This window comes from Homo sapiens, chromosome 4, assembly GCF_000001405.40.
Source record: "Homo sapiens chromosome 4, GRCh38.p14 Primary Assembly".
Taxonomy (NCBI): domain Eukaryota; kingdom Metazoa; phylum Chordata; class Mammalia; order Primates; family Hominidae; genus Homo; species Homo sapiens.
Genome location: NC_000004.12, coordinates 88,758,653 through 88,774,442, shown reverse-complemented (window position 1 = coordinate 88,774,442; position 15,790 = coordinate 88,758,653). Strand labels below are relative to the sequence as shown.

General features: G+C 37.4%; 1 protein-coding gene across 24 annotated transcripts in view; it reads left to right on the top strand.

Annotated features, from left to right (window-relative positions):
* Window positions 1–15,790, top strand: part of FAM13A (family with sequence similarity 13 member A) — a 331,226-nt gene that overhangs the window by 282,743 nt on the left and 32,693 nt on the right. For all 24 annotated transcript variants that reach the window (XM_047449481.1, XM_047449479.1, XM_011531516.2 and 21 more), the window contains 3 exons: window positions 6,384–6,460; window positions 6,848–6,890; window positions 15,542–15,689. In XM_047449481.1, the coding sequence (XP_047305437.1) occupies window positions 6,384–6,460; window positions 6,848–6,890; window positions 15,542–15,689 (268 nt within the window). The remainder of the gene's footprint in view (window positions 1–6,383; window positions 6,461–6,847; window positions 6,891–15,541; window positions 15,690–15,790) is intronic.

Sequence of the window (15,790 nt, the reverse complement as noted above, 5' to 3'; positions counted from 1 at the left end):
ATTATTTATTCCTTCAATCACACAACAACTAACTATATGACAAGCACTATTTTCAACACTAAGGACACAATGTGATCAAAACAGACACACACTCTGCCTTCCTGAAGTTTACAGTCTCATAAAATGAGATAGATAAGAAAGAAATATCTAGTTAGATGGCAATACATGCTGTGGAGAGAAATAAGGCAGGGTAAAGAGGATGGAAAGTGGTAAGAGGTAAAGGATCGATATCGTAGAGGACATTCAAGTCAGGCCTCACTGAAAATGATGCTTGCACAGAGGCCTGAAGGAGGTGAGGGAATGAGCCATCAGGATATCTGGAGACAGAAAATCCAGGCAGAGGGAGCAGCATGCTGAGCCTTTGAGGACAGGCAAGAGGTGGCCATGGTTAGAACAGAGTTGAGAGGAGCATTGTAGGAGATGAGGTCAAAGATGTAGCAGAGGTCCTGATCACCTAAAGCTTCATAGCCATTTTTAGGACTTTAGCAGTTACCTTAAGTAGGATAAGGAGCCACAGAGGATTGAGAGGGGAAGGAAGCCATTTTGTGATATACCTTATGAAAGGATCACTCTGGCAGCTGTGTTAAGTATAGTGCATGGGGTGATGAGAAATGGATAAGGACTAAAGTAAAATAATTGACAGAATCTAGTAAAGAATTCAAGTAGGCAGTTAGATATATTAATCTGGAGGTCAAGGGAGAGATGAAATAAATAATTTTGGAAGTCTTTGGTGCACAGTTGGTTTTTAAAGCCTTGAGAGTGGATAAGCTGACACCAAAGGACTGAGTACAAAGGGTAAAAAGAAAGGGTCCAAGGACTAAGCCCTGAGACCTACCAGCATTTAGGGGGTAAGCAGATGAGAAGGGAGCACCACAAGGGACTAAGAAGGAGCTGCTGCCGATCTCCAGTGCAACATGGAGGCAAGAGCCTCATTAGATTTAGGTCCAGAGAAAATTAGAATAAAGAAATTGCAATAGGGAGTGAGTGATAACTTCACATATATCTAGCTAACCCACAGCTACCTTGATGGGAGCTCTATTGGTGGGAAGAGGCAGGAAGAGCCTGATTAAGTGGGTTCAAGAAAACCTAAGAGGAAATGAGTTGGATACTACCAGTATGGAAGGTCTTTGAACAGGTTTTGCCCTACAAGGGGGAAGAAAAACGAGGTAGCAGTTGGAGAGAATACAAGATGAAGACAGTTTTTAGAAGGCAGTGATGTTACAGAATATTTGTGTAAGACAAGCCAATAGAGAGGAGAAGATGACGATGCAAGAGAATCCATTGCAGGAGCAATGTTCTTGAGTCAGTGATAGGGGATGGAACATAATGGACAAGTGGAGTGGTGTGATCATAAATCACTTTGATGTAAAGACCATCTCATCAAGAACTCCAACAGCTTTCCCCCACTGCCTCCTTTGCATAACACCAAAGGTCCATCTTTGTGTTCTAACCACAGCCTACCTTTCATCTATGAAAAGTGAATACTCTTCTAACTTATATCAGTCTCCTCATGTTTATACACACATCTAGGATTCCTTTCTTTTGTGTACTATTGAGTAAGGAAAGAAGGCTATACATATTCACTAGAAGCTGTACTTTGAGTATCCATACAACCATCTGATTTTTTACTTTCAGTAAGTATAGTATTCAGTAAATTACATGAGATATTCAACACTTTTGTTATAAAATGGGCTTTCTGTTAGATGATTTTACCCAATTGTAAGCTAATGTAAGTGTTCTGACCATGTTTAGGCTAGGCTAAGCTATGCTGTTCAGTAGGTTAAGTGTACTAAATGCATTTTTGGCTTATGATATTTTCTAATTACCATGGGTTTATTGGGATATAACCTCCATGGTAAGTTGAGAAGTGTCTGTACCTGGTGAAGCATTGTATTGGCCAGGTCTGGAAGCCACATATATCACTTCTCGCATCCCATTGGAGAACAGTTAGTTACATGGTTGTACCAGATCACGAGAGAGGCTGGGAAATGTATTGTTGCTGGACATCTAGCTACTTTATTACGGTGGAAAAAGTGTAGCATGGGTTTGGGTGGACAGCTAGCAAACTCTTTCTTAGGCATCTTTTATGATACCAGTAGTTCTTTTTGAATATGAATGCGCTTATACAATTTTAAGCAATAAAACATAAAATGTACAAAAGGGTACAAAAAGGAATTCAAATATGCCATTAATCCTTTCTTAACGAGACTCTATCAAATATTCTCCTCTTAGAGCTCAAGGTTAGAATAATGAACCTGTTTTGACTAACAGCATTCCTGTAGCCTTCAGATTGAGCTGTTTGTATATTGAGAGAGGCATTTTTGTGTGTGTCCTCTATTAAGGTTTTGTCAGCATTTTACAGTTTTAGAAGATGAATTTGTTTTTGTTCCAAGGGTTTTTAAGTGCTTCAGTCAGTGGTCAAACAGGTTTTGAGCCTAGCTTTCAATGCCAACACGGAGAGGGAGAAAGAAAAATAATCAAAAACAAATTCCACAATCTAAAATGAACTTTTATCAAGGCTTTTGCTCTTTTAGACTTGAGTTTATCTTTATAATTAAGGAGAATGGTTTTTAAAATTTAGTTCCTCTGACACCCCAAAATTATCAAAATAAATTATGTTGTAGTGAATCTGTGTTTTGAAAGTCATTGATAGGACTTATATGAGTCAAAATTTTATGGATTATAAACTAGGCTTTATCTGGTTGGAAATAATTGCAATACAAGAAGCAACTTTATTAAATTAGACCTAAAGTCACAATCTTCTTCTTTGCTGCTTTTTAAAAATTACCTATTACCTTTAAAAGATCCCAAATTTAGAAGAGGAATTAAAATAAAAGTTAATGCAATAAAACACTTCCACAATATTCTATTACTTCAACCTCTAATCAATGAAAACATTAATGGACTACTCTTACTACGCCTGGTAGGGATGTGTTTGGGACATAAAACAGTTTAAAACCTTCAAAAGACAATGACTCAATATTTTCTTGTTAGACAAGTACTATTAGCACCTACAGCACATTTGAAGGTCTAATGGCATACTTCTGAAAAGCATTCTGCATTTCAGCATTATTTTGACCTGTACATTACACTTTTCCCTTCCCTCATCTTAGTGAAGTAGAGAGATTACTGATCTATTTCTTTATCTTAATCATTCCTCCCTAACCCCAAGACAAAGAATACAAATTAGAATTTACAAAATGTATTGTGCCCATGGAAATACATAGTTTTGTTACTGTACTCATAGATATTTACTACCCTTGTTAGTTTCATTCTGAAAAAAAAAAAAAATGCTTTCCGGGTTGTAGCATTCTTCAGATTTTCCATTTCCAAAAGGTATAGGTGCAACCCAGCTACCTTAGGAAAGGAACACTGTGTACCTGCATGCTGTTTTAGTGAAACCAGACAATGAATATTCAGCAGTCTCAAATGTGCACAGAAATAACATGACAATTAGAATTACAAAAAAGCCTTAGAGAAGAATATTGAACAATATTGGAAATCAGCCTTTGTGAACTACGTCTACAAAACCTCAAATCATTGGAGAGTTCTTAAACATATGGATAAAACATGTAAAAAGTGGTAGGGATGGAGTTGAAGAAGTTAATACTTGTTTTAACACTGGAGATCAGCTAAGCTTTCTCACATCTCACAACTGCTTTTTGCAAAGCTTTCTATTGTGTGACCTAACTAACTTTATTCTGTAGTTCCTAACACCTGTATCAATTACATTTTGGTTCCTCTGTTTAGGAAAAAAAAAATCAATCTTCTAACATCTTCTAAATGAAATATCTCTAAATTTATATAATGCTATTACGGTTTATTTTCTGTTCACTCTTATTCTTCCTGAATATTTCTTTTTTATTTTATTTCTTTTTTCTTTTAAGCTATCTCCTACAGGAAGGATCTGAATATTTCTTAGCCTTGATCTGAAAATGTTTAGTTCTTTGGAAATCGTCATTTACACGTAACTATGAATGTATCATTTCATTGACACTGTTGTGAAGTGATCTGAAGATAGAGGGTTGTGCTTTCCTTTGGAATTCATGTTTCAGAGCTTTAGGAAAACCTAATACTATTGCACTAGATCTTACACTAAAGAGTCTGATAATCTGTTGAAGATTACCAATGGGAACAAAGATTCTTTGTCATAGATACAACCCTCTTCATCAGGAAAGTCACATTCAGGTAATAAGAGCAATTATTCTTGATTTAATGGGAGCCATTTTATAAAGGCCTCTTCTAACTCACACTTTAGAGGTATGAATATAATTGAATGTTGTAATTTTTAATTTCTCAGATCCATTCTAAAATTATCTAAGTGTGTAAATTAATGCTTAGTATTCTAGTATTCTAATGGCAGACACAAACACTGTATTTCCTGTTTTTGGGACAGTGTCTTAACTGTGAACAAGTAACAGTAAAATATTTTCCTTGGAGATATTATAACAAATATCTTGGAGATATTATAACAAATAACAATAAAATATTTCCCTTGGAGATATTATAGCTTCAGAAACAATAACATCAACAATTCATTAATTATATTAATAATAATATTCATTAAATGTACCAGGCATTATTCTATACTTTTGTTTTTTGGTTTTTTTTTTGAGACAGAGTCTCGCTCTGTCGCCAGGCTGGAGTGCAGTGGTGCATCTTGGCTCACTGCAACCTCCACCTCCCAGGTTCAAGCAATTCTCCTGCCTCAGCCTCCCAAGTAGCTGGGACTACAGGCACGTGCCACCACACCCAGCTAATTTTTGTATTTTTAGTAGAGATGGGGTTTCACTATGTTGGTCAGGATGGTCTCGATCTCTTGACCTCGTGATCTGCCCGCCTCAGCCTCCCAAAGTGCTGGGATTACAGGTGTGAGCCACCACGCCCATCATTATTCTAGTACTTTACATATCATTTTATTTAATCCTCATGACCACCCTATGTTAGACCATATTGTTGCCATCTTCATTTTCCAGATGAGGAAATTAAGGCTCAAGTAGGGTCATATAATTGGCAAATGGTGGAACTGGAATTCTAACCCAAGTATTCTGATTCAGAGCCACTGTCATAACTACTATGTTATATTATCTCCCTTTGTTTCTATTCTTTAATGGAGCCCAGGGTGTCAAACTGAGAATTCCAGGCAAATTGGCAAAACCAACATAAATGGAAAATAATTCAGCTGTCTATGAAGCCAAAGATTAGTTTTCTCCTCTATGTGTTTATTTTGTGGAGATTGTTGTAAATGCCAACTTCATGGGATTATTGTGAACCTTAGATTTACTTAGTAAAGGGTTTTATTATAATGGGATGTTATTGATAGGTAGATGAACATATGTTACTTTCATATATGTATAATTTACTTTGATGACACAGGATGAGTGGATTATGCTTAATATCCTTTTAATGCAGATATAAATCTGAGTTCAACAAAATTCAGGTCCAAATTTCCAAGGCAGCTATGTTTTTGAGTTTGCTGAATTCAGATATTCTCATTTGCTTATTTGTAATCTCCCTTCAAGGAAATGGCTTACTTATTCTGTGGCAGTCACCTGAATGATATTTAGAAAGCATTGGCCATATTCACAGAGGCAGTCAAAGATATCTTACATATATGCCTCCTGGTAAGCATTAACCCCACCTGGTCAGCCGAAAATACATACTATTCAAATTAGGTTTTCTGTCTTTACTTTTTCCATCTTGGCTAATATAAAGATTAACATTAAATATTGTAAAAAGAAAGGTTCTTAAATTTTCATTTCTGTTTATAGATATTTTACAGCTTAGGTATAAGCTACATGTTACTCTAGATAATATTGGAAGTATACACTGAGTATGTATATGTGTGTGTGCATATATATGTATATACATATATACACATATAATGTGTATACTCCGCCTTCAATCTTATCAATGTACACTGAATATACATAAATGTGTGTGTGCATATGTATATATACGTTCTTATATAGATAGATAGATAGAGAGAGAGTAAATGGTACATCAGTTTCTGATGAGATTCGATGTCAGATTCCTCAATTCTAAGTCTGACCCACCCTGATTCTCTAACAATCTGGGTTTTGCTATTTAGCTTTCCAATGTGGATAATACCTAAGGGAGACATTATAGGGCACAATGGCCATTTCTGTGATGCTGTCACATATGTTTGTTAAAAGGATGTTAGAAGTTCAATACACAATTCTATGCAAGCAGGATATAATAAACTGTCATAATTTTACTAGTTTAAACAAAGATAAAAATATGAGGACTAGAATTAGTTTATATATACATATTATTTGATTTTTCTATTTTAAAGAAAGGAGGGTCTGCGTTGCATATTTCTTACCATTCCTATTAGGCAACCAATAATGGTTCTGTTACAGAATATGGAAAGTCTCAATTCCACACGATCTCATGAGAGAACTGGACCTGATGATTTTGAATGGATGTCTGATGAAAGGTAATTTTAGAATTGTCTCCTAATATTCTTTCCAAGGGCAGGAAAAGGTTATTTTCATGTAATGCAATGTGAATTATAAGAACTAAAAAGAATGGAATTAAAGGACTATATATTTACCAGCAATATTTTATAGCAAGGAAAATGCTTAGAATAGAAAATCTATCACAGTGCTATTGAAGGCAAATAACTATAGTCATGTTTATTTGTGTTTCCAGTTTGCTTTGTTTTGATTAATTTTTTGTTTTGTGTTTTGTTTTTGAATTTTATAAGTATTTGGCTTAGAGCTACTCAACATACTCTTAAATTAAATCATAATATCAGTGGATGAAAAACGTTATAAAACAAGTAGATATTTTATGATTTTTTTGTTGTTGCCATTATTTATAGGAAAGGAAATGAAAAAGATGGTGGACACACTCAGCATTTTGAGGTGAGTAGCTAACAAGCAAGAGTAAGACTGTGACGGGGCTGTTCATACACTCTTGAGTGTACTTCTGAAATATTAGTCTGCCAATAAGGGACATTGAGATAAGTAATATAACTGTGATTGATTAGAAAGGCAAATACCAAACTTAAAGATTCCTTGAGAAATCATAAGAGCTCCATTATTTTCCTTTGTGAATTATTTTGTTTTGCTTATGATGATAAACTTTAATAGCATAGGGATTTCTCTTTAGATTTTCTATAAAGTAAAACAAAACAAAAAGCCAAAGCTACTGGTTTTATTTTCCACAATTTGATGCATTTTTTAAGTGATTGAAATATATAGGTAGTGAGTCTTAGTCACAAGGATTAGGTCATGAATCTTCAAATTAACAAAAATTCACTTTGAGTTACTTTAATCCAATTTGTTTGCTGAGTTTTGTCTCTCATCTTAAATAAACATTGGAGAAGAAAAGTCTCTCACCTCCCTTATGTCATCTGTATCTTCAAGTTTCATTTACTTTCCTGACCTCCCACTTGTCCTCTCAGGCATCACCATGCTGACCCAAGTATTTGGTTTCCCTTGCTCCCAAGTCCAGCTTCCATTCAGTGTGCTGAGCATCATTTTTAATTCATGTATGTGTATGCAATCTGCTACCTCCAAATACTTCCAACTCCACCTTCAATCTTATCAGTTTTGCTTTTCAAGAATTAAAGTTTTTCTTAACCTACTCTTAAATTCTGACTCTTGATATAAAGAGAACGTTCCCTCTAACCCAATGATTCTTAGTCTCTGTTGGGCACTGACCTAATTCACTGATGGATTTATTCAACAACATATATTAAATCCTACTAGGAACAGGTACTGTGCTAGGAGCTGGGATTTAATGACAACCACAGTCTATTCCCCCATGGAGTTTTACAGCATAGCAGCTTAAAAATCAGAAAGCTACAGACCCTCTTAGAAAATTGTATTATCATTAAAAAATGTGCATAAAATTCCTAGAAACTAATCCCCACTCCCTGAACACACGCTAATGCTGTAGACTCCTCATATCTCCTGTATTCAATTCTTGTCCTATATATACTTCTTCACCAGATAATTTAGCCAGATAATAGGAGGGGAATGCTTCCTCTTTCTGACCTCACAGCTTCTGAGCCACTTTTTTCATCTATTTCCAACTCATTTTTGCCTCCTTCCTTGGAACCCAAGCAACAAGCTGACATTATTTCCTTGTCTCTAGGCATCCTTTTAAAGATCATGTTTCCCCATGATACTGTCAAGTTGTGTTTTGTTTTTTATGGTTTTATCCTTTCACTGCCATCTTCCTCTGCTCACAGCAAGCACCTACTCTTCTCCTATCTAACATGATTTTAAAGAAAATCGCTTTGCCAGTCTCCTGGAGAGGTCTCCTCAGTTCTTTCCTTTTATGCCTGTTTTCTTTTGTGAGATAAAAGGGAATAAAAGTAACTTTTGTGGATGGACTTCATACATTAACTCATAAATTCCAAGTAGCACACAAACTAAATGGCAAACTAAACTGAACTCAGTCTGCCTTGGTCTTTGGTGGACAGCTCCCAGGGCAGTGGATGAATCATTGGGAAACAATCTCACATCCTTCTTCCATGTGCCAAGTCCTCTTCTTCTGTGTGTTACTCATGTGCAGCCACCAATCGTGCCCAGTGCCACTGCTGGCACTGCTTAGGCGTTCACTAATAATAACATGATGGTTTCAGTTAGGACATAAAATTAGGTGGTGAACTAAAATCTAGACTAAGCTCTCCATGTCACCTTTCTACCACAGCTGCACCAAAGGAGAAAAATAAGACATCATTCCACAAGATTGGGATGATTTCTACTTGTGAAAGTATGTGCTTCTTTCACTGAAGGAAATTTATTTTGTTATTATCCATGACAGACAGTGAAAAGAACTGTTTTCCATTTTGTAAAGCTTTTTCCCTTGTTTCAGTGTGCTGTTAGTTATTACTTTTTAATATATGTAGTCCTTCCTAAAACTTACACCACCCAATATTTAATCTAGTTTTCTAGTAAAAACATCAATAATCTTTCATTTTCAGTGATGAAAAATAAGTCTATACTTTGGTTACTCCTCCTAGAGTTCTGTTTAACCAGTATATATTTTGTTTCAGGTCTCATTGCATAAGATTTTGAGACATCAGATTTTACATGCCCGCTATTGAATATATATTGTAATATTTCTAATTTTGTTTTCCGTTAAGACAGACTTCATCCTTATTGATATTTTCATTTAAAATTCTCCTTGTAAACTCTCAGATTCACATAAGATAACATAGCAAACAACAGCTCTTGGGGAAAGGTGATTTTTTTTTGGGAGGACTACTATTCCCGTTAGAATGAGGAACATTTGTTTTCAGCCTCAGAAATGCTCTTTAGAGACAGGCAGAGAGAGGCTTCTCTTAGATCTGCTGCTCAAAGGCAAATGAAGTTACAACTGTGACCCCAGTTTTTAAATAATCAGCTTGCAGCCTTTAATGTGTTTTGTTTGAAGGTATGTGTGGAAAGTGAACATGGGCTTATCCCTTTGTTTCATATCTTTTTAATTTATTTTAATTATGCAACTAATATTGTCCAAAACGAGATTCTCCTGAGATCTCAGATGGGCATTGGTCAATAATAGTTACCCATTTCTATTTCATGAGAGTTCCTTATGTGGTTTGGATTAAAATTTGTTTAGTGACACACTGGCAATGAGAAAAAAAGTCAAGAGTCACTTTGAAATGTCCAAAATTAAAGTACAATTTCTTCAGGAAGGTTCAGAAAGGCTGACATTTTAATAAAATATCCTATCTGGGCAATGTGAAATGAGATAACATAAGGAAGAGCCTAGCACACTGCTCCCTGGGCATGCAAAATCTAGAGTCTTTGTTCTTCTGTGTATTATTAACTCTTTTAACAAACTACAAGTATCCAGAAGAGAGGTCATCCTTAAAACTAGCAATTTCTAGATTCTAAAAGATATCCCTGAAATTACAGATTTTCAGAGTTCTGTTTCCAAGGGAGTTTATGCTTTATGCTTCAATTTAATCCCTATTTTCTATGATGAAAATATTTTATACTTCTCTATAAAACCCAGAATATTAAAACTAAAACCTTACAATGAATCTCTGTTGAGAAGTCAAAACAAGTAAGAATTATTAACTGCATGTGAGGGAATTACATTATCTGGGAGAGATCATTTTATGTCAGAATTACAAGGTCAGTGAAGTGTTAAGTTCTTTCAAAATATTTTTACATTCTTTATGCTTTCTAAGCCTACTGCTTAAGAGAGCTTAGAAGCATACCTTTGATAACAAACAAGACATTCATAATTTTAAAAAAAAAGACTAGTTCCATGTTTCTTATCCTGCTTCAAAAAAAAGGAAAAGAGAAGAGAGAAAGAAGGAGAGGAGACAAGGCTTTTCAATCAAGACTGAGAATTAATATTAGTTATCACAAGATATTAAGTGCAGGCTTTTATTTGCCCTGAAAAAGTGAATTTCTGAAAAGTATTTATAGAATGGATGACTGTTATTTTGACTTCACTGTTTTCATGGAAGCTTTAGGACTTTGTTTTAATATTATAACCAGAAAAATTAACAAGCTCTATTTACTTCAAATTCGCTTCCAAATCAATCCAATAGCCAAAGCCTAATGAAGCTTTGGAGTTCACATGGATTTTGAAAATTTATTTCCACTTTCCTTTATTGTCAGGCCAAACAAAAAATGTTTATGGTTCTCTGTAGTTCTTCGGTTAATATTGTAGTTTCTTCCTGTGCAAACTGCATTATACAGCATACTTTCTGATATTGTCATTCCTGGCTCTGATAAACTATTAGGCCACTTAACTATATCCTGTGCAGGGCAATGGAAGGAATAAAACAAAAATTCACCAACTATTTGAAGCCAGAGAAAGAGCAGTATCAAATAAAGTCTGGGGATAGAAAAAGGTAGGTCCAGCTGGACAGGGACAAGTCTTGGCAAAGATTAGACTGATAGCTTCATAATTAATGGCTCCTTGACCTGAATGTGAAATGTTACCTGAGGGCCCGGGAGAGATGAGCTCTCTTCATATTTGCCCCCTGGCATCCTACGTTTCTTTTATAACACACGTGATACTTGGCACTTGTATGTTCAGTATCTCTCTCCTGCACCAAATCCCTTATCTTGCTTACTACTAAATTCCAGTGCCAAGGACATATATGTGTTCAATGAACGCTTGCCAAATGTATGAATGAATGAATGAATGAATGAATGAATGAACGAATGGGAAAGGGAGGTAGGGTATAAATGGAAGTAGCATTGTTTATAGTTCCTATAGGCTGTTTTGTACACGTTTTTCATTTTAATCTTTACAAACCTTACAAAGTCTTGTTCCTGTATTCGAGGAAAAACAAAAAAGCTGAAGTTCAAAGAAATTTACTCACTGAAAGTCTTGGAGCTAGTAAAGCTAGTATCTAAACATGAGTCTCTGCCTCTAAAACCCATCCTAATATGCCATACTCTGTTGTCTCACCTAAGAGCCAAACACTAAATTTGTTTCAATACACAGATATTTGGTGTGTTTTCATATAGTGCAGCATTTTTGACAATGTTTAGTGTATGACATCACGGTACAAGGATCTTGGAGTTGAAAATTGTGAAATTAATTTACTTTGTGATTTAACAGAAGATATTAGACATGTAAACAACAAAAGTTGAAACCAAAAATATTTTTATATTTGAGAATGCTTTTGACATTTTAACCTTAATGATCTAGTAGGAGAAACAGATAATATTTGCACTACTATATGAAGAGCCCTGTTAGAGAGGATGGAGCAACTGGGCAAGGTGCTTCACCCAGACTAGGCTAACATTTGAAGGCACAGCAGTTTTTATGCTAGTGTTTATGGAGCCTAAAGAACTTCACCATGGGCCATAGGACATAGGACAGCCTCCCTGGCACCCACATGCACAAAAAACCATCAGCAGTCTGCAGCCCTAGGCAAGGCAACCCTGTCACATCATAGACCAGCAGGGCCAAAAGCTGGGACTTGTGCAAGTAAGAAAGCAACCCCAGGGATTGATGGGAGCACAGCAGGACAGGGCCAGCCTGTACGTGCATCTCTACATGCAGTTAGGGTGTGCTGTGCTTAGTGTGTCCAGGATTGTGCCAGCTGGTGTAGGTTTGTGTAGGAGGGATCTCTCCACTGCTGTGCCACAAATCAGCCAGGAAGTATGGAAGCTCATGTAAGTTGACACAGGTCTATGATGTGAATGACCGAATGCCTCATTATATATGACACATCCTCATCCTCTGTTTATGGTGGCTCTGGCTGTCCTTTGCTGGATTCCAGAAACACTGACCTCTGTACTATTCCTGAAACATAGAAAAACTGACCATGCCTCAGGGCCTTTCACTTGTCTTCTTTCTTCCTGGAATGCTCTTTTCACAAATGGCCCACTTTCTCACTTCCTGTCACTTTATCACAGAGACTGTCCCTGACCACTCAGTATAAAACAGAGGCCTCAACTGCTACCACCCACATCCCTCTTACTTTATTTTTCTTTTACTTTTTATACCCCTTTATTTTTCTCCAGAGCCCTAACAGGTTTTTGTTGATTAACTGTCTTCTCTGTAAGACTCATTATGACAGAGATTTTATTTTGTCCACCATAGTTTCCCCAGTGTGTGAAAAAAACATCTAGCAAATAGTAGGTACTGAAAAATCATTTCTTTTGAATTAATAAGTTTTGTCTTTGTATCTCTAAAGACATAATAGGCAGCCCTATTATGCCATAATATTTATTGAATATATAAGTATATAATACTTAGCCTGGCATATGAGGCCTTTCACAGTCCAGCATCTACTTAGCTGACACCCTTGTCATGTCCCATTCCCCCTTCCTGTCCTAAGGGCTGGTCACCCTGAAACTCTTCTCTTGCTGTGGCCCAGCATGCCACGCTCTCATGCCTGCCTTTGCACTTGTTATTCCTCCTTCCTTCTGTGTGATGTGCCGTCCTCCCTCACCCCTCCAGCCCACACATATCTGCCCCCAAATCAAAATTTCTGTTGCTGATTCATGACGGATACACTAGTGGCTCTTTTCACTAATATTTTTTCATAATGCATTTAACATTGTCTTCCAGCCTTTGTTGTAGTATACTTCCCCTCAAATTGCAATTGTATTTGCCTTGTCTCCTATTCCCCTCTCTAGCAATTTTGAGGTGTGCCAGTGTTTTATTCATTTGTCTTCATACGGTGTCAAATAGTAGTAGAGAAAGAATGATGGCTTCCATTTGTGTCTCTCCTGCCCCCAGACACCATGCTGAAGGCCCTTCATACCTTCTGACAGATCTTCAAAAGAACTTTGCAAAATTGGTATCACTTATGCCATTTTAAATGTTAGGTAATGGAGGCTCAGAGAAGGGAAGCAACTCAGCCAGGGCACCAGGCTAGTAAATGTCAGAGCCACGCTTCAAACCCAGGTCTGCCTGTAAGCAAAACCCTTTGTCCTTTCCATAGCATGAGGGCTTAAATGACTTGATGTATGTTCCTCGTGAAGGAAATACCATACTTTAAAAATGAAATCATATTTCTAGTATTTTTTGATGTCTGTAAAGGTAATAAGCATTATAAATCTTTTTGAGAAAATGCTTATTTGCTGTATGCATATTCTTACTCTCTTTTGCTTCCCCCCGCCCACGACCCCTCCCCCGCAACCCAGGCACACTCATGATTGGTAACTGAGTGGCTTTGTAATTTAAAAAGCTGAGAACTAGATTTGGGCATTTAACCCTGGTCCACTTAGGCTTTAGCTTAAGGGAAAAATACTTTTTGTGACATAAATGCCTAATCTGGCTTTTTCCCCAGTAAACAAACTGCATTTTTAAACTATCTTAAATCTCCAGATATACTTGGCATTTCTTTTTTTTTTTTTTTTTTTTTTTTTTTTTGAGACGGAGTCTCGCTCTGTCGCCCAGGCTGGAGTGCAGTGGCGCGACCTCGGCTCACTGCAAGCTCCGCCTCCCGGGTTCACGCCATTCTCCTGCCTCAGCCTCCCGAGTAGCCGGGACCACAGGCGCCCGCCACCACGCCCGGCTAATTTTTTGTATTTTTAGTAGAGGCGGGGTTTCACCGCGTTAGCCAGGATGGTCTCGATCTCCTGACCTCATGATCCGCCCGCCTCTGCCTCCCAAAGTGCTGGGATTACAGGCGTGAGCCACCGCGCCCGGCCACTTGGCATTTCTATAAGACTTTAGTAGCTCATCAGGACCCGATTGATGGTATTTCATTTTATCCCAAATGTGAAGAAAATATGTCTCCATGCATCATTTCATGGAAATATAATAGTAAAAAGCCCTGGCTATTCCCTGATGATTTCAAAGTGGGTTGGTTGGGTGGCTATTAAAAGTAGCTGCAAGTCTTAAGTAGTGCTTTCAGCACAGAAACGTTTCTCATACATTAATGAAATCACTTATGATTTCCAGATGTTCTTAGTTTTTTCATTTAATGATAGTATATTTGCCAAAATACATTTCTAGCTATTCCTAAAGAAAATCTTGTGTACCCATCTGTGCTACTTAAGGAATACATTTGTGAGCAAACTGTTTCATAAACACTTTTGTTTATAATTGTGTGAGACAGGGAAGAGTGACAATGGTTGAATTTACAAATTACCCAGAGAGCAAGGCTTAAAAAAAAATTAATTCGAGTGCAGTTTGTTTAAACATAAAATTATTAATTTGAATATCAGCCTTTTGGGGAGGATCTCTCCATCCCTCAGATGTCCTAGCCTGGTGTGGGTGCCACCAATAAGCAAAACCAAGTGTAGCCAAGTATTTAATATTCAGAGTAGATGAATAGTAGGAAAACAAGTGACAGTTGCGTATTTGTAAGACATGAATTATGCATCACTGACTTGCCAGCTCTTGACTTTTTACTTAAAAAAAAAAATTGCTCCCTGTGTAATTTTGGCTCATTTCCAGAGTCCGTATTCTTTACTGCTAGCTGAGATGAGACGCCAATCCCCTGTGCTGTTTGAATTTGCGCAACAATGCTTTAATACCCAGAGCTCCTCCATAAATAGTCTGTTCTCCCAATACTCAGTGAGAAAACAACCACAGGAAATCTGGGAATGTGCAGCTAGCCCCGCTTAATTGATCTAAGCAGCCAGGGCCGGCAGGGGAGCTTTCACGTACACAGCCTCTATTCCTGGCTTGCAGGACTGTTTACCTAAGGGGCAAAGAAGTCCACCTGCGAAAGACACCATGTTGCTACTACAGCCTTAGCAACAGCAGTAGCCCGGTTTTCATTGTTGTTGTTTACAGTCATGAGAGCCATACTCCTTTAAGAAAACACCAAACTCCTTTCCCTCATTCCTGGCCCCAATCAGTAATCACCAAGACTGTCAGCTGCCTGCAGTTATCGGGAAGAGCAGCCTGGGGAAAGTTAAAGGAGCACAGATGGACAGTTGCTTTCTGCATGCAAGTGGCCAGCTAGGATCCGGGGGGCATCAAGCCATGATTTTTATTTCTGTGCTGGATGCATTAGCAGCTGTGACTTGGAAGGTTTTATCCTGAAGGAGTGGAATTGCTGCAGACGTCTTGGGGTTTTGGTGAGCAGTAGATATTTGGGGACATTGTGCTGTTATTGCAGAGCCCCACAATGAAGATCCAGGAGCATCCCAGCCTATCTGACACCAAACAGCAGAGAAATCAAGATGCCGGTGACCAGGAGGAGAGCTTTGTCTCCGAAGTGCCCCAGTCGGACCTGACTGCATTGTGTGATGAAAAGAACTGGGAAGGTAGGGTTGTCTGATACTTGGATGATTTGCTATCATTAAAGCATATATAAATAAGCACAAATGAGAGGCATGTAACTATGTGAGAGTGTGGGTGAAAGAGC